The sequence below is a fragment of the Homo sapiens genome, chromosome 17 (genome assembly GCF_000001405.40).
Source record: "Homo sapiens chromosome 17, GRCh38.p14 Primary Assembly".
Lineage (NCBI taxonomy): Eukaryota > Metazoa > Chordata > Mammalia > Primates > Hominidae > Homo > Homo sapiens.
The window spans coordinates 17,269,965-17,295,582 of NC_000017.11; the positions used below are offsets into that span (position 1 = coordinate 17,269,965).

At 45.4% G+C, this 25,618-nt stretch overlaps 1 protein-coding gene across 8 annotated transcripts in view, besides 4 other annotated features; it reads right to left on the reverse strand.

Annotated features, from left to right (window-relative positions):
- COPS3 (COP9 signalosome subunit 3) overlaps window positions 1–11,282 on the reverse strand; it is a 34,631-nt gene extending 23,349 nt beyond the window's left edge. For 2 of the 8 annotated variants that reach the window (NM_001316355.2, NM_003653.4), the window contains exons 1-4: window positions 11,168–11,282; window positions 6,071–6,200; window positions 932–1,044; window positions 794–843 (exon numbers count right to left, since the gene is read on the reverse strand). In NM_001316355.2, coding sequence (NP_001303284.1) covers window positions 794–843; window positions 932–1,044; window positions 6,071–6,200; window positions 11,168–11,222 — 348 coding nt within the window. In that variant the 5' untranslated portion in view covers window positions 11,223–11,282. Of the gene's footprint in view, window positions 1–793; window positions 844–931; window positions 1,045–6,070; window positions 6,220–10,609; window positions 10,735–11,167 lie in introns of those variants that run through there. The other 6 variants (XM_047436961.1, NM_001316356.2, NM_001316354.2 and 3 more) reach the window with 5 other exon arrangements.
- Window positions 10,670–10,729: an enhancer, noted in NCBI's record as "active region_11795". NCBI's record gives its function as "activates an Ori minimal core promoter by ATAC-STARR-seq in GM12878 lymphoblastoid cells {active_cell/tissue: GM12878}" and the evidence as "EXISTENCE:reporter gene assay evidence [ECO:0000049][PMID:35858748]".
- Window positions 10,920–11,159: a silencer, noted in NCBI's record as "silent region_8239". NCBI's record gives its function as "represses an Ori minimal core promoter by ATAC-STARR-seq in GM12878 lymphoblastoid cells {active_cell/tissue: GM12878}" and the evidence as "EXISTENCE:reporter gene assay evidence [ECO:0000049][PMID:35858748]".
- Window positions 11,380–11,479: an enhancer, noted in NCBI's record as "active region_11796". NCBI's record gives its function as "activates an Ori minimal core promoter by ATAC-STARR-seq in GM12878 lymphoblastoid cells {active_cell/tissue: GM12878}" and the evidence as "EXISTENCE:reporter gene assay evidence [ECO:0000049][PMID:35858748]".
- Window positions 25,437–25,496: an enhancer, noted in NCBI's record as "active region_11797". NCBI's record gives its function as "activates an Ori minimal core promoter by ATAC-STARR-seq in GM12878 lymphoblastoid cells {active_cell/tissue: GM12878}" and the evidence as "EXISTENCE:reporter gene assay evidence [ECO:0000049][PMID:35858748]".

Sequence of the window (25,618 nt, forward strand, 5' to 3'; positions counted from 1 at the left end):
TGGCAACATGGTGAAACCCCGTCTCTACTAAAATACAAAAAATTAGCTGGGCGTGGCAGCATGCACCTGTAGTCCCCAGCTACTCAGGAGGCTGAGGCAGAAGAATTGCTTGAACCTGGGAGGTGGAGGTTGCAGTGACCAGAGATGGCGCCACTGCACTCCAGCCTAGGCATCAGAGCGAGACTCTGTCTCCAAAAAAAAAAACAGTAAGAGTTCATTTCTGGATGCTGACCATTACACTATACTATGTAACAGAATGTCCTAATTTTTAGGCTTTACCCACTGAAGTATTTAGGGATAAAGAACAGCAATAGCATATGTGCAACTTACTCTACAATGGCTCAGAATAAAAGAGGAAGAGAAAAAAAAAAGAATAAGTGCGGTAAAATGTTAACATTTGGAAAATCTAGGTAAAATGTATGAGAATTTTTTATATTATTTTTGAAGCTTTTTGTAAGGCTAAAATAATGTCCTAATTAAAAGTTAAAAGAAAAAATGTAACAGACAAAACCCAGCATATTACAACATAAAGGGTACTGGCTTGGTAATTCCAACTACTTGGTAGTTCCAGCAGCAGCCTCCCTGAGGTGCCAAACCACCCCGTGCCTCCACCTCATTCAGGGGATGCGGGGACTGCCTGAGCTTACAGCAATGGCTGTGAGTGCTCTCAAGTGACCACAGATATCTAGGTGGTGGATGCTCAGTACTAACTGGAATCTTGATAAAGTAATTCATTGTGTAAGCTAGTTACATATTATAACAAAACTAGGAATACTTGAATAGTATTTCTTACCTGTTTTCTTTCCACAAGTGCATTTGTTAGCTGATGGCAAAGCCCAGCAACTAGATACAATAACAAAATATTCAAAATATAAATATAACCACAAGGGCAAAATATTTTCAATGGAGAATAAAATGTTATTTAGCTTACAAGTGTCTGTTGCATATCGAATGTGCTCCCCATTACAAGTGCTGATGAAGAGCTGAACCTGTGAGAATAGCGTTTCGAAGTCAGGAACACTGGGCATAGAAAACTTCACAAACCTAGAATAAGGAGAAAAGAATCAAATTACCCTGATAGTTCATGGGATAAAATACAGAAACAATGTATGCAAGAAATCCATCCTGCCTCCAATACTCTGTAAAATTAAATGAGCAACAGTATTTTTTAGAATTAAGAACTAGGCCAGGACAGTGGCTCATGCCCGTAATCCAAGCACTTTGGGAGGCTGAGGCAGGAGGACTGCTTAAGGCCAGGAGTTTGAGACCAGTCTGAGCAACATGGTGAGACCCTGTCTCTACTACAAAAAATAAATTAGCCAGGCGTGGGGGTACATGCCTGTAGTTGCAGATACTTGGGAGGCTGAGGCTGGAGGATCACTTGTGCCTAGAAGGTTGAGGCTGCAGTGAGCTATGATCATGCCACTGCACTCCAGCCTGGGTGACAGAGCAAGATCCAGTCTCAAAAAACAAATAAATAAGAACTAGAATCCATGAGATTTTCCTGACCTGGTTATTTTGCACAATCACTATACAGAACGGACACAAATAAGGGTTAAGAAAAATATGTTTAGGCCTGGCGCAGTGGCTCATGCCTGTAATCCCAGCACCTTGGGAGGCCAAGGCGGGAGGATCACCTAAGGTCGGGAGTTCGAGACCAGCCTGATCAACATGGAAAAACCTCGTCTCTACTAAAAATACAAAAAAATTAGCCGGGCGTGGTGGTGCATGCATGCCTGTAACCCCAGCTACTCGGGAGGCTGAGGAACTGCTTGAACCCGGGAGGTGGAGGTTGCAGTGAGCTGAGATGGTGCCACTGCACTCCAGCCTGGGCAACAAGAGCGAGACTGTCTCAAAAAAAAAATCTATATATATCTATATATATATATATATACACACATACACACACATATGTTTAATAATATATATTAAATAATAAACATGTATATATTAAACATATATGTTTTATATATATATATATGTTTAATAAGGAACAACTTTCAAGATGAAAAATTCCACTAAATGAAGCCAAATAGGCTGGGCATGGTGGCTCAAGCCTGTAATCCCAGCACTACGGAAGGCCAAGGTGGGCAGATGGGCAGATCACAAGGTCAGGAGTTCGAGACCAGCCTAGCCAATATGGTGAAAACCCATGTCTGCTAAAAATACAAAAATTGGCCAGGCACGGTGGCTCACGCCTATAATCCCAGCACTTTGGGAGGCCAAGGCGGGTGGATCACCTGAGGTCAGGATTTCAAGACCAGCCTGACCAATCGGGTGAAACCCCATCTCTACAAAAAATAGAAAAATTAGCCGGGCGTGGTGGCAGGTGCCTGTAATCCCACCTATTTGGGAGGCTGAGACAGGAGAATTGCTTGAACCCAGGAGGCAGAGTTTGCAGTGAGCTGAGATCGTGCCACTGCACTCCAGCCCGGGTGACGGAGTGAGACTCGTCTCAAAAAAAAAAACTCCTTTATGTTTATACAAATCCTGAAAATTTGTTTTAAAAAATGGCCATCTCAATTGTGGGGACTATAGTTTGCATTTATCTGAATACTTTTATCCATGTAATCCACAGGAATGTCCACATTTTCTAAATTAAAAAGAAGTTCGGAGGAGTACTGCCACAGGGCATGGCAGAATACATTGAATGAAAATATTGGCTGGGCACAGTTGCTCATAATCCCAACACTTTGGGAGGCCAAGGTCGGAGGATCATTTGAGGCCAGGAGTTTGAGACCAGCCTAGGCAACATAATATGGCCCTATCTCTGCAAAGAATAAAAATATTAGCTGGGTGTAGTGGTACATGCCTATAGTCCTAGCTTCTCAAGATGCTGAGGTGGGAGGATTGCTTGAGCCCAGAAGTTCAAGGCTTCAGTAAGCTACAATTAAGCCATTGCACTCCAGCCTACATGACAAAGTGAGACCTTTTCTCAAAAAAAGAAAAAGTATCAAAGATCCAAAGCAACATTGCTTAGAATTCCCTTCAAACAAATTTAAGCTATTTAAGACCAAATTAAATAGACCTTATTTTAATTGGGGTTCCTTGTAACCGTGTACTTGACAGTAGAATTCTTTTTCTCTTGATGTTATAGTATTATAAATTGGGATATTGTGGTTGTCATGACATTTGAAATGATATAAATAAACTGAGAAGAAATTGACTTAAAGTGAGAGTCTGGCTTCACTTACGCTGGGATTCCTGAGACAAAGGTATGTGTCCGGAGCAGAGTTTAGAGAAGAAGCTTTGTCAGAATGGAAGGATCTAGAGTTATGCTCTGCAGTATGGTGGCCACTAGCCATATGCAGCTATTTAAATTAAAATTAAAGATTCAGGTGCACTTGCCATGTTTCAAGTACTCAGTAGCCACATGTGGTCACATGTCCTTGTCTTAGCACAGGTTTGTAACATTTCCACCACTGCAGATAGTTCTATTGGACAGTGCTGGTAAGGATTTCTACTGTCTGTATTTTCTTATTTATATGAAAGAGCAGATGCTGGGCACAGTGGCTCACACCTGTAATCCTAGCACTTTGGGAGGCTCTGTTTGAGACCAGCCTGGGAAACATAGCAAGACCCCATCTCTACAGAAAAAAAAAGTGGCCAGGTATGGTGGCTTATGCCTGTAATCCCAGGACTTTGGGAGGCTGAGATGGGCAGATTGCTTGAGCTCAGGAGTTCAAGACCAGCCTGGGAAACGTGATGAAACCCTGTCTTTACAAAAAAACACAAAAATTAGGCGGGCGTGGTGGTGTACACCTGTGGTCCTGGCTACTCAGGAGGCTGAGGTTGGAAGATCACTTGAGTCCATGAGATTGAAGCTGCAGTGAGCTGTGCTCATGCCACTGCACTCCTGACTGGGTGACAGAACAAGACCTTGTCCCCCCAAAAGAAAAAAAGTTAGCTGAGTGTGGTGGCACATGCCTGTGGTCCCAGCTACCCAGGAGGCTAAAGTGGGAGGACTGCTTGAGCCTGGGAGGTCGAGGCTACAGTGAGCTATGCTTGCACCACTGCACTTCAGCCTGAGTGACATCAAGACCCTATCTCAAGAAAGAACAGAGAGCATGCATGTTTTATACACACATAAACTCACATAAACATATATATCAGGTGAGTAATGGACATGAATGCATTTTGAAGGTATAAGGTGTTTACCGTTGTATATGTTAGATAAGGTATGGAAAGAACCCTGAGCTTCTGGCTGAGGACCCTGGTTTTGAATCTACATATTCTTCCAATTTTGAGTTGTGGGGCCCTGAGCTTCATATTTTTATTTATAAACTGGCAGTCGCAATGCCTCACTGACCTATTGTGAACCCCAGATGAAATTGTTTCTGACATGTCTTGATAATTACAAAGTGTAAATACAGATGTATGGTGACATTGTTAAGTCAAATAATACAGTATAGATGGAAGCAGATAAACCAAAAGATGTAGTAGAAATTATGATTAGCTTTTCTTTTTTTTTTTTTTGAGACAGAGTCTCACACTCTGTCACCCAGACTGGAGTGCAGTGGCGTTGTCTCAGCTCACTGCAACCTCCGCCTCCCAGGTTCAAGCCATTCTCCTGCCTCAGCCTCCCGAGTAGCTGGGACTACAGGTGCATGCCACCACACCCGGCTAATTTTTGTATTTTTAGTAGAGACAGGGTCTCACTATGTTGGCCAGGCTGGTCTTGAACTCCTGAACTTGTGATCCACCCGCCTTGGCCTCCCAAAGTGCCGGGATTACAGATGTAAGCCACTGTGTCTGGCCTAATTTTTCTTGAAATTACATTTCAATCGTGCTTTTTTTTTTTTTTAAAGAATTTGAAATTTACTTACAACCAATGCCTTAATAGTGCTAAGTTTACATGATTTCTCCCCTAAAACCTATCACCAGTGCCTCCTTGGAGTGTTTCTCATGGCAGTCTGAGTTACTTGGGAAGGATCACCTGAGTCCTCCCTCTTCTCACCACTCTACTCCTCTTGTCCTGCCTATCAGTTGTTCTGTCAGTGTTATTCTCAGATAGACCACACAGCTGGTGGCAGCATCTTTAACTTAAGCTGCTGCCCACCTCCAGCCAGCCCATAGCTCTCACTCTTGGCCCCCTTAGTATGTTCTCAAAGCAGGAAAAGCAACAACTGATTTTTTTTTTTTTTTTGAGAGAGTCTCCCTCTGTCGCCCAGGCTGGAGTGCAGTGGTGCAATCTTGGCTCACTGCAACCTCTGCCTTCCAGGCTCAAGCAATTCTCATGCCTCAGCCACCTGAGTAGCTGGGACTACAGGCATGCGCCAACACACCCGGCTAGTTTTTTTATTAGTAGAGACAGGGTTTCACCAGTTGGCCAGGCAGGTCTGGAGCTCCTGGCCCCAAGTGATCCACCTGCCTCTGCCTCCCAAAATGTTGGGATTAGAGGCGGGAGCCACTGTGCCCAGCTGCAACAACTGATTTTATTTTTTTGAGACAGTCTCGCTCTGTCACCCAGGCTAGAGTACAGTGGCGCGACCTTGGCTCACTGCAACCTCTTTATGCCCGGATACATAAAAGAGTTTTTAAAAATGATAAAGTTGAACAAAATATAACAAGCAATTATTAGCTGGAATCAATAAACTGTAACTGCCATAACTTTAGTTTTGCAAAAGAGCTCAATGTTATTTACAATGGTTTACTTTCTACACCAAAAAATAAATAAATAAATAAAAATAAAGCCAGGGCTGGGCGTGGTGGCTCACGCCTGTAATCCCAGCATTTTGGGAGGCCAAGGTGGGCGGACCAAGAGGTCAGGAGATCGAGATCATCCTGGCTAACATGGTGAAACCCTGTCTCTACTAAAAATACAAAAATTAGCTGGGGCGGGTGGCGAGTGCCTGTAGTCCCAGCTACTCAAGAGGCTGAGGCAAGAGAATGGAGTGAACCCGGGAGGCGGAGCTTGCAGTGTGCCAAGAATGTGCCACTGCACTCCAGCCTGGGTGACAGAGCGAAACTCCATCTCAAAAAATATAAATAAATAAATAAAAATAAAGCCAGGAAGTGCACAGTGTTCCATTTTAACAAGCACAGAACTATAAAAGAAGATGCTCCTTACAAAACAGCAAGGACGCCCAAGGAGTGTTCTTGTACATCCAGAGCCCCGAGCACAGTGTCCAGATGGGATAAGTTCTTCGCAAGGAGTTCCCCACTCTTGTTGATCAGTTCACAAAGCTGTGTCATTTGCCCTGGAAAACAGGAACAACACTATTGCATTTCAGCTACAGCACTAACCAAACTGATGGAACTCTAACCACAACTTTGTACTTCAGAGCCTGAAGTTCCCAAAATTGATTCTTAATCTCCTTCACTTCGGATGAGGATCCAGAAGGACCAGAGGAGTGAAACAACCTGTCCGTGGTCTCAAAACGAATTAGAGATTACACTGGACCTCCCACTTCTCTCTGACCCTGAATGTTTCACCTTTTTCTCTATTCTGTTTTCTAGTCTCCCAAGCCAGAAATGCACGTTACTATTAACAGCTCTCTGCATCCAAATGATTTAGTTTTACTTCCAAAGTCTCTCAGCTCCATTTCTTTCTCTCTCCCCTCTCTGCCCTAATTCAGATCCTCATCATTTTTTGTCTGGACTACATCTTTTTTTTTTTTTTAAGATGGAGTTTCACTGTGTCGCCCAGGCTGGAGTGCAGTGGCGCAATCTCGGTTCACTACAACCTCCGCCCTCCAAGTTCAAGCAATTCTCCTGCCTCAGCCTCCCAAATAGCTGGGATTACAGGCGCCTGCCACTGCACCTGGCTAATTTTTTTGTATTTTTAGTAGAGACGGGGGTTTCACCTTCTTGGCCAGGCTGGTCTTGAACTCCTGACCTCATGATCCACCGCGCCCAGCCTACATCATAAATCTTCTAAATGGTCTGCCTACTGTGATCTTTCTCTCCTCCAACCCGCACTCCATATTAGTACTGTCTGTTCTATAAACTGTGCATTCAATCAAGTTATTCCAATGACTTTAAGAAGTGCAAACGCCTCAGCCTGAACTAAGGCCCTTCAATAACTGGTCCCTGCTACCTTTCCAGCCTTATCTCCTGCTACTTCCCCTCACACACCTACTCTTCGATCACAGCAAGCTCAGAAAATCAACATTCTATCTTCTCTCCTCTTTATGCTTCTACACATGCTGTTCTCTGTCCTTCTCCCCCACATCCTCTGCTACCTGACTGAGCCTCATCCAGCATTCAGCAATCAACTTGTGGCGTCTCTAGACCCTCATCTCAGCTCCCTTCCCCATGGCTAAGCTGGGTATCTGCCCTCTCTGCCTCGCATGGGACTGTAGTGGTTAGGTATTTCAGTAAACTCAGGTGGAGGGATTGTCCCTTTCTCCAGCTCTAGAATACATCACCTGCTTAGCAGTTCATCAAGCAGCTACTTGTTGAATTAATCTCCTAATTGATCTATTTTTCCCCTATACTGCAATACTATGTTTGTTTTGTTTTGTTTTTTGAGACAGGGTCTCATTCTGTCGCTCAGGCTGCAGTGCAGTGGTGTGATCACAGCTCAACGCAGCCTCCATCTCCTGGGCTCAAGCAATCCTCCCACCTTAGCCTCCCGAGTAGCTGGAACTACAGGTGTACGTCACCATGCCCATCTTATTTTTTAAGTTTTTTGCAGAGACAGGGGTCTCACTATGTTGCCCAGTCTGGTCTCTAACTCCTGGGCTCAAGCAATCCTCCCACCTTGGCCTCCCAAAGTGCTGGGATTAGAGGCATGAGCCACCACACTCAGCCTGCAATGCTACATTTTAACAACTAAGGTACAGAATCTATTAATAATTAGGCCTCAGCCGGGTGCTGTGGCTCACACCTGTAATCCCAGCACTTTGGGAGGATAAGGTGGGCAGATCTCTCGAGGTCAGGAGTTCAAGACCAGGCTGGCTCACACCTGTAATCCCAGCACTTTGGGAGGATAAGGTGGGCAGATATCTCGAGGTCAGGAGTTCAAGACCAGGCTGGCCAACATGGTGAAACCCTGTCTCCACTAAAAATACAAAAATTAGCTGGGTGTGGTGGCACACACCTGTAATCCCAGCTACTCGGGAGGCTGAGGTGGGAGAATCCTTTAACCTGGGACAATCCTTGAACCCGGGAGATGGAGGCTGCAGTGAGCTGAGATTGCGCCACTGTACTCCAGCCTGGGCAACAGAGCAAGACTCCGTTTCGGGGGAAAAAAAAAATTAGGCCTGAATTGGTACCTTTAAGTAGACCCATCAATTTTGACAATTACTGTCATGACAGATACCATGGTCACACTCTGTCTTTCTGGTAACAGTGAGGATATATTTAAGTCCATGGGCATTAACCTCAAGTTTCCAACTTCTCTATTTCTACAGAGCAACTGCATAATCTTTTCCTTACTAAAAGAATACAACATAGTATAATGCTTAAAATACAAGTGACTATAGCTAGGTACTTTTGATAATTTAACACTTTTCAATTTGATACATTTTACTGAAAGCAAAGGAAATGTATCATTATTATACATGCATTACAAAACAAGAATAAAACAGCTGTGATCTTATTAGGTGTCACCTCTTGAGATCACACAGATTTAACTGGGAAATACCAACTCATCATCATTGTATTACAGATCTCACTGGTAGGTATGAAGTAACTTCTAGTTGAATAATTTGCCTTTGTAAACCATTACTCTAAATATATTAACAATAATTTGTAACACCCAGAAATAAGCATTGCAATCCATTAGTTCTCTACTAGTTAACAATCAGTGCCCAGTTGAGACTGAAATAAAAGCTGGGTCACTATGAAATCACCAGATAATTAATTAGTGCAGGGCCAAGGGCAGAGTAAAAAAAAAAAGTTTAAGTGTCACAGAGTGCATTTGAAATCAGTGTAACCAGAGATGTGGCCAATAAAATTCTTTTTTTTCTTTTTTTTTTTTTTGAGACGGAGTCTTGCTCTGTCACCCAGACTGGAGGGCAGTGGCGCGATCTTGGCTCACTGCAAGCTCCACCTCCCAGGTTCATGCCATTCTCCTGCCTCAGCCTCCCGAGTAGCTGAGATTACAGGCGCCCGCCACCATGCCTGGCTAATTTTGCATTTTTAGTAGAGACAGGGTTTCACCATGTTGGCCAGGGTGGTCTTGAACTCCTGACCTCAGATGATCCGCCCGCCTCGGCCTCCCAAAGTGCTGGAATTACAGGAGTGAGCCACTGCGCCTGGCCTGAAACTCAAAGATTTCCTATCCAGTGAGTGTGAGGCACAGTAGCCGACAGCAATGAAAGTTACCATATTTATCTCTGTCTAGCAGACTGTTCCTATAGCATCCTATAACCTGAAGACCACAACAGCCCTAGTTCTGTTTTGTAATTAAGAAAATTGGCCCAGGGAAATTAAGTGGTTCACCCAAGAAGTGACCGCGACAGGATTTCAACCTGAAGCTTCTAACTACACTACACCCCAGGAAGGAGAACACTAAGTATTTGTCGAATAAATTAACAAACCAGTGGTTCCTTTATTCATAGAAAAGGCAAGCCTGTGCCTTCCCTGTGAACCTCATTTCTATTAATAAAAAGGAAAAAGAGGAAGAATTCTTATTAAGTGCAGCTCCATATCAGACCATTTGTCTTACACCAGTGAGGTAAAAGCACCCCTCCATTTTTACAATGGAGATGCAAAAGACTCAGAGATTAAAGGTTATTTGTCCAAGGTCAAGCAGCTCCTAGAACTTTGCAATTAATGACGGTAACAATAATTTGCAGCTATATTTATTGCACCCCTTATGACAGGCACTGTTCCAACTGCTTTTACATGGTTTCTCTCATTGAATCTTCACAACTCTACATAAACTAGGGACTTATTTTGCAGACGAAGAAACTGAAGCACGGGATAGTTAAAAGGGCCTTCACAGCCAGCATCTAATCATTCGAATTTCAGGTCCAGAATTCGGTACATTCATACGCAATGAATGAACCAAACAACCTGGAAAGTGCGAGTAAAATCATCACAATTCTACCCCTAGAAATGGAGTCCTGGCCGGGCGCAGTGGCTCACGCCTGTAATCCTAGCACTTTGGGAGGCCGAGGTGGGCGGATCACTTCAGGTGAGGAGTTCGAAACCAGCTTGGCCAACATGGTAAAAACCCCATCTCTATTAAAAATACGAAAAAATTAGCCGCGTGGGCTGGCCGCGGTGGCTCATGCCTGTAATCCCAGCACTTTGGGAGGCCGAGGCCAGTGGATCACCTGAGATCAAGGTTCGAGACCAGCCAGGCCAACATGGTGAAACCCTGTCTCTACTAAAAATACAAAAATTAGCCGGGCAGGCGCCTGTAATCCCAGCTACTCGGGAGGCTGAGACAGGAGAATCGCTTGAACCTCGAAGGCGAAGGTTGAGGTGAGCCGAGACCGCGCCACTGCACTCCAGCCTGGGAGACAGTGAGACTCCGTCTCAAAAAAAAAAAAAGCCGTGTGAGCTGGCGGGCGCCTGTAATCTCAGCTACTCGGGAGGCTGAGACAGGAGAATCGCTTGAAGCCGGGAGGCTGAGGTTGCAGTGAGCCGAGATCGCGCCACTGCACTCCAGCCTCGGCTAAAAAAAAACAAAGAAGAAGAAATGGAGTCCTACGAGCGAGAGCTTCCGCAGCATTCTGTAGGACCAAAATAGGCGCACAGGTTCCCGAGCGTGCGCCGCCTGGCAGCGGAGGAGCTGGCAGAGGCGAGCCATAGAGCCAAGACACCCAGAACGGACTCGCCTCCCGCCCGCTCCCGGCGGCCTAGTCAGCAAGCTGCGGATCGGCGGCAAAGATGACATGGCGGTGCGCCAATCACCGAAGGCAAGAGAGACAGAAGGAACCAATAGTCGCCCGAGATGGCTCCTGGCGGAAGTCACGCCCCCAAACTGTCAAGCAAAGCGCCCGGTGGAAGGGGCCCAGGCCGGGGGGAGGGGGCTCCCGGCGGCCCGAGGGAGGGGAGGCCGGCCGGCGAGGACAGCGGAGCGCGAGGGGGCTGCCTACACTCGGCCGCGCTCGATCCTGCCCTGATCTAAACGCCGCAACCCCAAGCCCGGCCCCGGAGAAGAGTCTCAGGACTAAAAGGGCTGTTCCAGCCGTCCGTGCTGGCGCCTGGGGATCCAGGCCAGTTCCCGGTACCCGCCCATGCCCAGCCCGGCGGCCTAGGGCGTTACCTTGAGCTGAGAGCTGTCGGACACTGTTCACGAACTGCTCCAGGGCAGACGCCATGTTTTCCCCCGGGCGGCCCGAGCGGCGAAGGCAGCACGCGCGGGAAAAGGCTGCCGCTCTGGGAGGAGGGGCCGCGGCGATCCACCTGAGGTCCTCGCGAGCGGCGACGTCACTTCCGCTGGTTCAAGCACCGCGAGACTATACCTAGCTGCCCACCCGTTACTGTTTCCATGGAAACAGCCTGAATTCGCCGTAGCCGGAAATTAGTGTTCCATAGTCCCCTGCATCTTTATTCACTGCACTTCTGAAATCCCTCCGCAGGTTAAATGGGGATAGTGGGCAAAAGAAGGAAGGAAACTCATAATTAAGCAAGTATTTTCTGGTTCTGGATTTTGCTAGAGAGGCCCTGCGGTTTTCCACCTGGACAGATACTTCAATGAAGCACAACTTCGTTGCCACGTCTCCCGTGAGGTTTTCCCCGTGATATTAGACTCTGGAGCCAAGCAGCCTGGGTTCAACTGCCTTTTCTACCACTTAGTAGCTGTGTGACGTTGAGCGGGTCACTTGACTGTCGTGTGCATTGTTTTCCCCATCTGTAAAATCTTAGTGTCCTTAACCACGTAAAACACTTAGGACAGTGCATAGGACGTAGGGAGAACTATAGTTATTCATTCAAGGTGTACGTTGAATGAATCGATCCCTTCCCTGCAAAAAATAAATAAATAAGTAACACCACACACAGAAAGTGAATTGATTTTTCCCATCTGGGATTGATGTCTCCCTCCTCCGCTTGTCGCCTAAAGCACTTTGTTCTTCTCATGTTGCACTTCTACTCTGTTACAGAAATGTGTCTCTATAGTCCATGTGATATCTGTAAACCAAAAATAAAAGTCTAAGCCCCCCAACTGACTGGTGGACCCTATCTGAAGCCAAGGACATTCCAATTTATCCTGAAAAACTAGTTCAGGCCATGATGGGAAGTGGTAGTCAGACATGCCTCACAAACATCAACACAGAGACCTTAAGACTGGTAGACTCAAGACTGATAAGAAATATTTACAATCTATTCTGTCTGAATAGCAGGCTACCTGGAAGCCTCATCTGCATGATAAAACCTTGGTCTCCACAACCCCTTATAATCATAACCCAGATATTTCTTTCTATTTACTTCCAGGTCTTTAGATAATAACTCTTTCAACCAATTACCAATCAAAAAATCTTTAAGTCTACCTATAAGGTAGAAGCCCCCCACTGCCCCGAGTTAGCCCGTCTTTCCGATCCTAACCAACGTACATCTTACATGTATTGATCGATGACTCATGTCTCCCTAAAATGTATAAAACCAAACTGTACCCGCACCTTGGGCACATGTCCTGAGGAGCTCCTGAGGCCGTGTTATCATCGCATCCTTCACCTTGGCAATATAAACTTTCTCGATTGAGACTGGTCTCAGATACTTTTGGTTTACGGATCCATTGCTTCTAACTGGCATGGAGTTCCTTAAGGTCAAGCATTTCTCTTACTAACCTTGGTTCCCCTTTAGGGCCCAGCATAGGATTTGCTGCATAGTAGGGACTGAGAAAATAAACATGCATTTTAAAATTTTATCCAACATATGTTTACTGACACTTACAATGTGTTGTACCAGGCACTAGAAATACAGTGGTAGTAAAAACAGTCTTGGGGCCTGGTGCAGTCTCTCACGCTTGTAATCCAGCACTTTGGGAGACTGAAGCAAGTGGATCACTTGAGGTCAGGGGTTGGACACCAGCCTGGCCAACATGGTGAAAAGCCATCTCTACTAAAAATACTACAAAAATTAGCTGGGCTTGGTGATGGGTACCTGTAGTCCCAACTACTCGGGAGGCTGAGATGGGAAAACCTCTTGAACCCGGGAAGTGGAGGTTGCAGTGAGCCGAGATGGCACCACTGCACTCCAGCATGGGCGACAGAGCAAGAATCTGACTCAAACAAAACAAAACAAAACAAAACAGTTTCGGTCCTTCTCTCCTGCAGACAACACATGAAGACCCTAGATAAAAGGAGTTAGTGGTCTGAAGGAATGGAACATGGTTCTATAAAATCATGTCACAGAGGAGATTGACCTGGCTTGGGAGAAACAGGGAAGGCTTTCTTGAGGAAATGGCATAAACTGAGCAACGAAGAAAGAGGAAGAGTTAATAAGATAAGGGGGAAGGAATATTTCTGAGTGAGAGGACAGTATGGTGCTAAGACCCTGCAAGTGAAAGGAGCATGCTAGTTGAGAATGAAGAACTGAAAGAATGTCCTTGTGGTTGGAGGGGAGTAGTTTGTAAGGTGGACAGGGGCCAGGTCATGTAAGCTGTGTTAAAGGTACTGGACTTTTTCCTGAGAAGATTGGGAGGACTGGAGAGTTTTATGCAAGCGGTGGCAGGATCAAATTTGCGTTTTAGGACCGGGCGTGGTGGCTCACGCCTGTAATCCCAGCACTTTGAGAGGCTGAGGTGGGTGGATCACGAGGTCAGGAGTTCAAGAGCAGCCTGGCCAGAAAGATGAAATCCTGTCTCTAGTAAAAATACAAAAAATAGCCGGGTGTGGTGGCGTGTGCTTGTAATCCCAGCTACTCAGGAGCTGAGGCAGGAGAATCGCTTGAACCAGGGAGGTGGAGGTTGCAGTGAGCTGAGATCAGGCCACTGCACTCCAGACTGGACAATAAAAAGAGACTCAACTTCAAAAAACAAAACAACAACAACAAAAATTGCATTTTAAAAAGATTTGTCTGGCTTCACATGGATAACTTGGGAGACAGGAAGCTATTGCAATAGTCAACATAAAATAGAATAGTAATAATTATACTTTAAATAATTATACCTTGAATGCTAATAGTTTTACTCTTACCAGGAGTTCGAGACCAGCCTAGACAACACAGCGTGACTTTGTCTCTACAAAAAAAATTTTAAAAACTAGCTGGTTGTGGTGGTGCATGCCTATTGTCTCAGCTACTCTGGAGGCAGAGGTGGGAGGACCACTTAAGCCCAGGAATTTAAGGCTGCAATGAGCTATGATCTCGCCACTGCACCCCAGCCTGGGTGACAGAGTAAGACCCTGTTTCTTTCAAATAAATAGTAATAATAATAGTTCTTTCGAAAGTGTAGATAAATTCACCAGGATAAATTGGTGAACTTGAGACATGTTTAGATGAATGACTGTAGCACTTGTACTCTAAGATGGAAATGCTCCTGAATGTTCTATGGAAGCAATTGGTCCTTAATCTTTGATCATTTGCAACACACAAGACAGACATTTTGACTTATGGGACACATTTCCATGGATATACATGGATTTTGGTGAAAGCCAAAAATGTTGAAGATAAGTAAAGCACTACAATAATTCAAAGTAGCCACAGCTACTAATAATACTTTGATTGTTTATTTATTATTGCCTATTTAGGTTGTGGCAGCTGCTCTCAAACTGTGACTCCACCAATCAGCAGCGTCAGCGTCATTTGGGATCTTCTTGGAAATGCACATTCTTGGACCCCACTGTAGACTTCCTATATCAAGAGCTCTGAAACTGGGCACGGACCCTCACGCCTATATAAAAATTAGCCAGGCGGTAGTGGTGCACACCTGTAATCCCAGCTACTTGGGAGTCTGAGGCAGGAGAATCGCTTGAGCCTGGGAGGTGGGGGTTGTGGTGAGCTGAAATCATGCCACTGCGCTCCAGTCTCGGTGAGAGAGTGAGACCCTGTCTCGAAAAAAAAAAAACGGTGATTTCCAGAAATCTGAGCTTAACAAGCCTGCAGGTAATTCTGATGGTGCTAAATTCTGAGAGCATCTGGACCGTGGCCTCCAGATGAGCCAGCATGCAAATAACATTTCAAAACAGCTAAAAGCTAAATTCAAAACAGCTAAATTCCACCCTTCTCTTTCCTCTCAAAAACAAATGACTGAAAGAGACGTGATTATAGGGATAAACCTGAATATATTCTAACTTGTTTTTTTTTTTTTTTTTTTTTTTTTTGAGACGGAGTCTCACTCTTTCGCCCAGGCTGGACTGCAGTGGCGCTATCTTGGCTCACTGCAAGCTCTGCCTCCCGGGTTCACGCCATCCTGCTGCCTCAGCCTCCCAAGTAGCTGGGACTACAGGCGCCTGCCACCACACTCGACTAATTTTTTGTATTTTTATTAGAGACGGGGTTTCACCGTGTTAGCCAGGATGGTCTCGATCTCCTGACCTCATGATCTGCCTGCCTCGGCCTCCCAAAGTGCTGGGATTACAGGCGTGAGCCACCGTGCCCGGCCTTGTTTTGTTTTTTTATACAGAGTCTCGCTGTCACCCAGGCTGGAGTGCAGTGGAGTGATCTTGGCTCATCTCAATCTCTACCTTCCAGGTTCAAGTGATTCTCCTGCCTCAGCCTCCCAAGTAGCTGGGATTACAGGTGTGTGCCACCATGCCTGGCTAATTTTTGTATTTTTAGTAGAGATGGGGTTTCACCATGTTGGCCAGGCTGGTCTCAAACTCCTGAGCTCAGGTGATCCGCCCACCTCGGCCTCCCAAAGTGCTGGAATTACAGGGATGAGCCACTGTGCCTGGCCTCTAACTCGTATTTTTTTTTTCTTTTGAGATGGAGTCTCGTTCTGTCGCCCAGGCTGGAGTGCAGTGGCGCAATCTGGGCTCACTGCAAGCTCCGCCTCCTGGGTTCATGTCATTCTCCTGCCTCAGCCTCCCGAGTAGCTGGGACTACAGGTCCCCCCTACCATGCCTGGCTAATTTTTTTTTTTGTATTTTTAGTAGAGACGGGGTTTCACTGTGTTAGATAAGATGGTCTCGATCTCCTGACCTCGTGATCCACCTGCCTCAGCCTCCCAAAGTGCTGGTATTACAGGCGTAAGCCACCGGGCCCAGCCCTCTCACCTGTAGTTTTTTTTAAGCCAGAATTTTGTAAAATCTGGCAATTACTTGAGAATGCCTCACAAGGAAGGATGGCTCAGCAGTGGGTGGATATGATACATTTAATCTTTTGTTCTTTTATTCTTTGAACACACATTTACTTTGTATCAAATATGTGTCAAGGCTTTGCCAGATGCTGGGAATATGTCTGTGAACAAGACAGAATGTCCCGGGTCACATGAAGTTCTGGTTTGGAGAGTAAAACAATAAGCAAGCAAATACATAATTTGGATAGTAATATGTGTTATGAAGAAAATAAAGCATGGCGATGGGGGTATAGGAAGGTCAGGAAATGCTTCTTTGAGCCCTCAAGGATGAGAAAGAGCCAGTTAAGAGAGATGTGGGGCCAGAGTTGGAGACAGAGGGATATGCATGGTGGGCAAAGGTCTTAAAATCCAAACAAGCTTGGTGTGTTTCAGGAAAAGAAAAAAATGCCAGTGCAGCTAGAATATAGGGAGTGAGGAGGATCCTGGTATGTCTCCCTTGAGAAATGCTTGTCTATAGCAATCTCAGATTTGTCCAGATTTTCAAATGCAAAACATTTTCGGATTCAGTAATGTCTACAAATTTTTTCAAGTGATAACTTGTAAAAAAGGAATAGTAGATAGCACTTGGGGAGGGGCAGGAACAGTGTCAGGCACTGTTGTAAACACCTTCCACATTCTCCATTTCTATTTATTTATTTATTTATTTTGAGATGGAGTCTTGCTCTGTCACCCAGGCTGGAGTGCAGTGGCACGATCTTGGCTCACTGCAACCTCCACCTCCCTGGTTCAAGCAATTCCCCTGCCTCAGCCTCCTAAGTAGCTGGGATTACAGGCACACACCACCATGCCTGGCTAATTTCTTTTTTTATTTTTAGTAGAGACGGGGTTTCACCATGTTGGCCAGACTGGTCTCAAACTCCTGACTGCAGTCAGTCTGCCCACCTCGGCCTCCCAAAGTGCTGGGATTACAGGTGTGAGTCACCATGCCCAGCCAATTTTTTTTTTTTTTTTTTTTTTTTTTTTTGAGACGGAGGCTTGTTCTGTCGCCCAGGCTGGAGTGCAGTGGCGCGATCTCGGCTCACTGCAAGCTCCGCCTCTTGGGTTCACGCCATTCTCCTGCCTCAGCCTCCCGAGTAGTTGGGACTACAGGCGCCCGCCACCAAGCCCGGCTAATTTTTTTTGCATTTTTAGTAGAAACGGGGTTTCACCGTGTTAGCCAGGATGGTCTCGATCTCCTGACCTCGTGATCCGCCCGCCTTGGACTTCCCAAAGTGCTGGGATTACAGGCGTGAGCCACTGCGCCTAGCTGCCCAGCCAATTTTTGTATTTTTAGTAGAGACAGAGTTTTGCCATTTTGGCCAGGCTGGTCTCAAACTCCTGGCCTCAAGTGATCTGCCTGCCTCCGCCTCCCAAAGTGCTGGGATTACAGGTGTGAATTACCGTGCCTGGCTCTAGAGCAGTTTGTAGGCCTTGTCTCCACAATAATCCTTCCAGGCAGGTGCTATTGTAGAATCCTCCAGGCTTTTCACAAATATTCCATTTATTTTCCTTTCACACCCTTAGAATTTTGTTATCACTATGTGACTTTATTTGGCCACTGAAACACAAGTAGAAGTGGCATGTTTGACTTTTGGGTGGGAGCTTTAAGTGTCAGGGCACCAGGATAGGATGGGCAAGCCACCAACCACCCTTCTGAACCCACACTGGAAATGTGTATGTGTGTCTGTTTGTGTATATATATGTGTTTTATTTTATATATATTTGTGTATATATATACATGTTTTATTCTATATATATATTTGTTTTATTTTATATGTATATATATAAAGTAAAACAAATTACCCCCAAACATAGAAGCTTAACATTTTTTATTTCTCAGTTATTATGTCACAATTTCTGTGTTTCAGGAATTCTGCCATGGCTTAGCTGGCTGCCTCTCCCTCAAGGTCTCACACAAGACAGCAATTGGGTATTATCTAGGGCTGTGGTCTCATCAGAAAGCTCACTGGAAATAGTCTGTTTCCAAGTTCATTTACATGGTCGCTGGAATGATTCAGCTACTCATAGGCTGCTTGACTGAGGACCTCAGTTGCTTGCTGGCTATTGGCCAGGGGCCTTGCTCAGTTGCTTGCCACATGGGCTTCTCCATAAAGGAGCTCAGAACACGGCAGATGGATTCTCAGAGAAAGAGAAAATAGGAGAGGGGAGGAGTGGGGGAGGGGGAGGGGGAGGAGGATGCTGAAGGGGATGGGAAAGGGAAGAGAAGTAATGCTAAAGTCATAGGCTTTTTGTAACCTAATCTTGGAATTAATGTCCCATCCCTTTTGCCATAGTGTATCCATTAGAAGTGAGTTGCTAGGTGTAGCTGATACTCAAGAGCAGGGATGTTCCAACAGCGTGTCAGGAGGCAGGGTTTATTGGGAGTCATTTTATCTTATTTTTTGTTTTCTTTGTTTGTTTATTTATTTATTTATTTTTGAGATGGTGTCTCGCTCTGTCACCCAGGCTGGAGTGCAGTGGCACAATCTCGGCTCACTGTAACCTCCACCTCCCGGGTTCAAATGATTCTCCTGCCTTAGCTTCCTGAGTAGCTGGGACTACAGGTGCATGCCACCCTGCCTGGCTAATTTTTTTTTTTTTTTTGTATTTTTAGTAGAGACGGGGTTTCACCATATTAGCTAGGATGGTCTCGATCGCCTGACCTCATAATCCGCCCACCTCGGCCTCCCAAAGTGCTGGGATTACAGGCGTGAGCCACCATATTTATTTACAGAGTTTTTGCTTTTGTTGCCCAGGCTGGAGTGCGATGGAGCGATCTCGGCTCACCGCAACCTCTGCCTCCCAGGTTCAAGCGATTCTCTTGTCTCAGCCTCCCGAGTATCTGGGATTACAGGCATGCGCCACCACTCCCGGCTAATTTTGTATTTTTAGTAGAGATGGGGTTTCTCCATGTTGGTCAGGCTGGTCTCGAACTCCTGATCTCAGGTGATCTGCCCGCCTTGGCCTCCCAAAGTGCCAGGATTACAGGCATGAGCCCAGCTATTTCTTTATTTTGAGACTGAGTCTTGCTCTATCACCCAGGCTGGAGTGCAGTGGCACAATCTTGGCTCACTGCAACCTCTGCCTCCCAGGTTCAAGCGATTCTGGGAGCCATTTTAGAGGCCGCCTACCACAATGAGTAGGAAATAAACCATTGTTAAGGCACTGAGATTTTGGCATTGGTATTGCAACATAACCTAGCCTGTCATCTGACACAATGTTTATCTCCCATCCTTCAGAAACTGATGCTCAGAAAGATTAAGGGATTTGGCCAAAGATACACAGCCAGGTACTGGCAGCACTAGGATTAAAACTTATATCTGTCTGACTTCAGGCCCTGAGTTTTTTTTGTTTGTTTGTTTGTTCGTTTTAGACATAGTCTCACTCTGTCGCCCAGGCTGGAGTGCTGTGGCACCATCTCAGCTCATGAGCAGACTGTTCTTGAACACCTGACCTCAAGTGATGCACCCACCTCAGCCTCCCAAAGTGCTGGGATTACAGATGTGAGCCACCCTGCCTGGCCTCCAGGTCCTGAGCTTTTATTCACTATATGTATTGGGCGACTAGGAAACATGAGGATAGGAAAAGTATTCAATTTCAGTCCATGGGACAGTAGCAACCCTTCATAGCAGCTGTTGATAAAACGTGACACATTTTGATGTGGTAGGGCCTATTGACTGTGTGGGGTGAGAGGACGACAGACAAGGACGCACCCCACAATCTTGTAATCATTTCCTACAATACAGCCACATTCCCAGATATATTCATAATCATTCTTCTGTTAGCTTAGCAGGTCCATGTTTCCATCCACAGCCACGTGCGGAATCTGCTTCTTGAGAGGATGGATACATTCCAGCGACAATGTGTGTGAAGCCATTTGTCAACCCCTTCCTATGACTGTTGAGTCCCTCAAGGCCAGAGAGACTGCAACTTACCCAAGGTCACACAGCAACCAGTGGCAGAGGTAGGACTACATTGCCAGCGTTCCCATCCAAACCTCTTTTCATGACAGCATGTGGCAACCAAGCAGGTATCCACATCCTTCGTAGGCTAACAACACTGGTGCATCCATATGAGCAGCACATTACCCGCAGCTGGGAGGCCAAGCAAGAGCCCTTTTCCCTATTGTCTGGAGGATCTGCTATCCTTTCCTGCCACTTCCACCTTTTTTTTTTTTTTTTTTTTTGAGAGTCTCGCTCTGTCTCCCAGGCTGGAGTGCAGTGGCACGATCTCGGCTCACTGCAATGTCTGTCTCCTGAGTTCAAGTGATTCTTCTGCCTCAGCCTACTGAGTAGCTGGGATTATAGGCATAAGCCACTACACCCGGCTAATTTTTGTATTTTTAGTAGAGACGTGGTTTTACCATATTGGTCAGGCTGCTCTCAAACTCCTGACCTTGTGATCCACCTGCCTCTGCCTCCCAAATTGCTGGGATTACAGGCGTGAGCTACCATGCCCGGCCACTTCTACCTTTAAGATATGTGAAGCCTCTGATTCCTTGCACCCACGCACAACTTCCATTCTAGCCTCCATCTCAACCCCTCGGAGATCTGGACTGTACTACCCAGGATTCTCAGTTGCAAGTGGCAGAAAGCACAATTTAGACTGGTTTAATTACAAGGCGAATTTACCAGCCCATGTTACTGGCAAGCGACTACAGCTTCAGGAAAAGATGGATTTGGCAATGTAGCAATGTGAACACTGTCTCAATTTCACTTGTCTTTTTTCTTTCCGTTTCTTGGATAAAACTTTTGAGGTTTGTTTGTTTGTTTGTTTGTTTGCTTGGTTTTTAGAAACAGAGTCTCACTCTGCTGCCTGGGCTGGAGTGCTGTGGCACCATCAGGGCTCACTACAGCCTCGACTTCCTCAGACTTCCAAGTATCTAGTGCTACAGGCACACACCATTAGGCTGGCTAATTAAAAAAAAAATTTCTTTTGTAGAGGTGGGGTCTCCTGTGTTGCCCAGGCTGGTCTCAAACTCCTGGACTCAAGCAATGCTCCCACCTCAGCCTCCCGAAGTGCTAGAATTACAGGAATGAGCTACCACACCTGGCTGAATCCTGTTTTTATTTTATCATTTTATTTTTTAACTTTTTTTTTTTTCAGACGGAGTCTCGCTCTGTTGCCCAGGCTGGAGTACAGTGGCGCGATCTCGGCTCACTACAGCCTCTGCCTCCTGGGTTCCAGTGATTCTCCTGCCTCAGCCTCCTGGGTAGTGGTATTACGGGTATGCACCACCATGACCAGCTAATTTTTGTATTTTTGGTAGAGACAGGTTTCACCATGTTGGCCAGGCTGGTCTTTGACTCCTGACCTCAGGTGATTCGCACGCCTCGGCCTCCTAAAGTGAGCCACTGCGCTGGGCCTGAATTCTGTTTTTAAAATGAGGTATAATTGACCAACAGAAAATGCATACATTTAAAGTTTGATAGAAATTTGGTAGATTGTTGGTAAAATGTGATACATTTTGACTTATGTACACACTGTTAAACCATCTTCTCAATCAAGGTAGTGAATACATCCATCACTCCTCAAAGGTTCCCCCAGCCCCTTTGCAAATACCTCTCATCCCCCACATCCCCCATCTGCTTTCAGTCACTATAGATTAGTTAACATTTTCTAGAAATGTAAATAAATTGAATCATATTGTAGATATTCTTTTTTATCTGGTTTATTTCATTCATTATAATTAATTTAAGACTCATCTATATTCTTCATTTGTCCTTAGTTTGTTTCTTTTTCATTTTCTTTAGAGACAGGGTCTTGCTCTGTCACCCAGGCTGGAGTGCAGTGGCATGATCATAGCTCACTACAACCTTCAACTCCTGGGCTCAAGCACTCCTCCTGCCTCAACCTCCCAAAATGCTGTGCTGAGATCACAAGTGTGAGCCACTGCGCCTGTTCCTTTTTTTTTTTTTTTTTTTTTTTTTGAGATGGAGTCTCACTCTGTCACTCAGGCTGGAGTGTAGTGGTGCAATCTTGGCTCACTGCAACCTCCGCCTCCCGGGTTCAAGTGATTCTCCTGCCTCAGCCTCCCGAGTAGCTGGGATTAGAGGTACCTGCCACTATGCCCAGCTAATTTTTTGTATTTTTAGTAGAGATGAGGTTTCACCATGTTGGCCAGGCTGGTCTCGAACTCCAAGACCTTGTGATTTGCCCGCCTTGGCCTCCCAAAGTGCTGGGAGCCACTGCACCCAGGCGTGAGCACAGGCGTGAGCCACTGCACCTGGCCCTCCTTTTTTTTGAGACAGAGTCTCACTCTTTCACCCAGGCTGGAGTGCAGTGGTGCAATCTCGGCTCACGGCAACCTCTGCCTTCCAGGTTCAAGCAATTCTCCTGCCTCAGCCTCCCAAGTAGTTGAGATTACAGGCACCTGCCACTATGCCTGGCTGATTTTTGCATTTTTAGTAGGAGGGGGGGTTTCACCATGTTGGCCAGTCTGGTCTCGAACTCCTGACCTCAAATGATCCACCCACCTCGGCCTCCCAAAGTGCTAAGATTACAAGCATGAGCCACCACACCCGGCCGCCTGTTCCTTTTTATTGTTAAATAGTATTGTATTATATGGATGTATCACAATTTGTTTATCACATGTTGATGGACAGTTGGGTTGTTCTACCTTTTAGCTCTTACAAAGGAAGCTTCTAAGGATATTTATGTACAAGTCTCTATATAAACATATCTTCTTTCCTCTTGGGTACACATCCAGGAGTGGAATAGCCAGCTCATACAGTAGGTATATGTTTCAACTTTTTTTTTTTTTTTTTTTTTTTTTTGAGATGGAATCTCACTCTGTTGCCCAGGCTGGAGTGCAGTAGTGCAATCTCGGCTCATTGCAAGCTCCGCCTCCCGGGTTCACACCATTCTCCTGCCTCAGCCTCCTGAGTAGCTGGGATTACAGGCGTCCACCACTATGCCCGGCTAATTTTTTGTACTTTTAGTAGAGACAGGGTTTCACTGTGTTAGCCAAGATGGTCTCAATCTCCTGACCTCATGATCAGCCTGCCTCGGCCTCCCAAAGTGCTAGGATTACAGGCGTGTGCCACCGCACCTGGCCTGTTTCAACTTTTTAAGAAACCATCCAAATGTGTTCTAAAGTGTGTTTGCACAATTAATTTCTCATCCCACCAGCTGTGTGTGAGAGTTCCAGTTCCTCCACATCTTTGCCAGCATTTTCTATGGTCAGTCTCTTTCATTTTAATCCTCCTAGTAGGTGTGAAGTGGTATCACACTGCGGTTTTAATTTGCATTTCCTTGGACTAATGATATTGAGCATCTTTTCATGTGCATATCGGCCATGTGTACATCTTCTTTGGTGAAATGTCTGTTTAAATAACTGCCACTACTTTAATGATACCCCAAAAATGTTGATGCATTGTATTTCTATTTAATTTATTAATTTATTAATTTATTGAAATGGAGTCTCACTCTGTGTCCCAGGCTGGAGTGCAGTGGCGCCATCTCGGCTCACTGCAAACACTGCCTCCTGGGCTCAAGCGATTCTCATGCCTCAGCCTCCTGAGTAGCTGGGATTACAGGAGTGTGCCACCATGCCCAGCTAAGTTTTGTATTTTTAGTAGAGATGGGGGTCTCATCATGTTGTCCAGGCTGGTCTCAAACTCCTGACCTCAAGTGATCCACCTGCCTCGGCCTCCCAAAGTTCTGGGTTATAGGCATGAGCCACCGCACCCTGCCGTATTTCTTTTTTTTTTTCCGTATTTCTATTTTAATTCAAGTCAAATCACCTTCTAATGTTTCTTTTAATTTCTTCTTTGATCTATGGGTTATTTAGAAGTATGTTTTAGTTTACAAATATTTGGGAATTTTTCAGAGACCTTTCTGTTATTGATGCCTAATTTAATTCTATTGAGATCAAAGAACATACTCTGTGTACTCTGAATCCTTTAAAATGTATTGAGGATATTTTTACAGCCCAGAGTATGGCCTGTCTTTTTAAATGTTTTATATGCACGGGAAAATAATGTCTATTCTGCTGCTGTATGGATGTCATAGAAATGTCAATTAGGTCAAGTGGGTTAACAGTGTTCTTTGAGGCTTCCATATCCTTACTTGCTTTCTGTCTACTTGTTCTATTATTAAGATAGGAATATTAATTTCTTTTTTTGAGACAGAGTCTTGCCCTGTTGCCCAGGCGGCAGTGCAGTGGCATGATCTCGGTTCACAGCAACCTCTGCCTCCCAGGCTCAAGTGATTCTCCTGCCTCAGCCTCCTGAGTAGCTGGGATTATAGGTATGCGCCACCATGCCCAGCTAATTTTTGTATTTTTAGTAGAGATGGGGTTTGCCATGTTGGCCAGATTGATCTCAAACTCCTGACCTCACGTGATCTGCCCACCTCGGCCTCCCAAAGGCCTGCTGGGATAACAGGTGTGAGCTACCGCACCCAGCTGGAATATTAAAATATTTGACAGTAATTGTGAATTTGCCTATTTCCCTTTGCAGTTTTATATATTATAAAACGGTGTTTCCTTTTATTCTACTTTTATAGTCATTTTAAATATATTATTCACATAACAAAATTCACTATGTTAAAGTGTGAGTATACTATATACATCCATATAATACAATACTACTTAAATTTAAATATATAATTCACGTAACACAATTCACCCATGTTAAAGCTGTGTTGCACAACCATCACCATTTAATTCCAGAGCATTTATATCACCCACCAAAGAAACAGTACACTTATTAGCTCTCCTCTCCCCTCCCCTTCCCTCCCCTTCTCTTTTTTCTTTTTTCTTTTCTTTTTTTTTTTTTTTTTGAGATGGAGTCTCACTCTGTTGCGCAGGCTGGAGTGCAGTGGCACTATCTTGGCTCACTGCAACCTCTGCCTCCCGGGTTCATGCCATTCTCCTGCCTCAGCCTCCCGAGCAGCTGGGACTACAGGCACCCACCACCACACCCGGCTAATTTTTTGTATTTTTAGTAGAGATGGGGTTTCACCGTGTTAGCCAGGATGGTCTCAATCTCCTGACCTCGTGATCCACCTGCCTCGGCCTCCCAAAGTGCTGGGACTACAGGCATGAGTCCCCGCGCCCGGCCTCATTCTCTTTTTTCTTTGAGGCGGGGCCTCACTCTGTTGCCCAGGCTGGAGTGCAGTAATACAGTCATGGCTCATGGCAGCCTCGACCTCCTCAGCCTCTCAAGTAGCTGGGACCACAGGTGTGCACCACCACACCTGGCTAGTTTTTGTATTTCTGTACAGATGGGGTTTCACCATGTTGCCCAGGCTCTTAGCAATTAGTTTCAATTTCACCCTTCCCACAACACCTGGCAACTACTAATCTACTTTCTGCCTCTATAGATTTGCCTGTATTCTGGACATTTCATATAAACAGAATCTTTTAAGACCTGACCTTTTGTAACTGGCTTCTTTCACTTAGCAAAACATCTTCAAGGTCCACCCATGTTGTGGCATGTGCCAGAATTTCCTTCCTTTTCAAGGTCATAGTACGTATATACCACTTTGTATTTA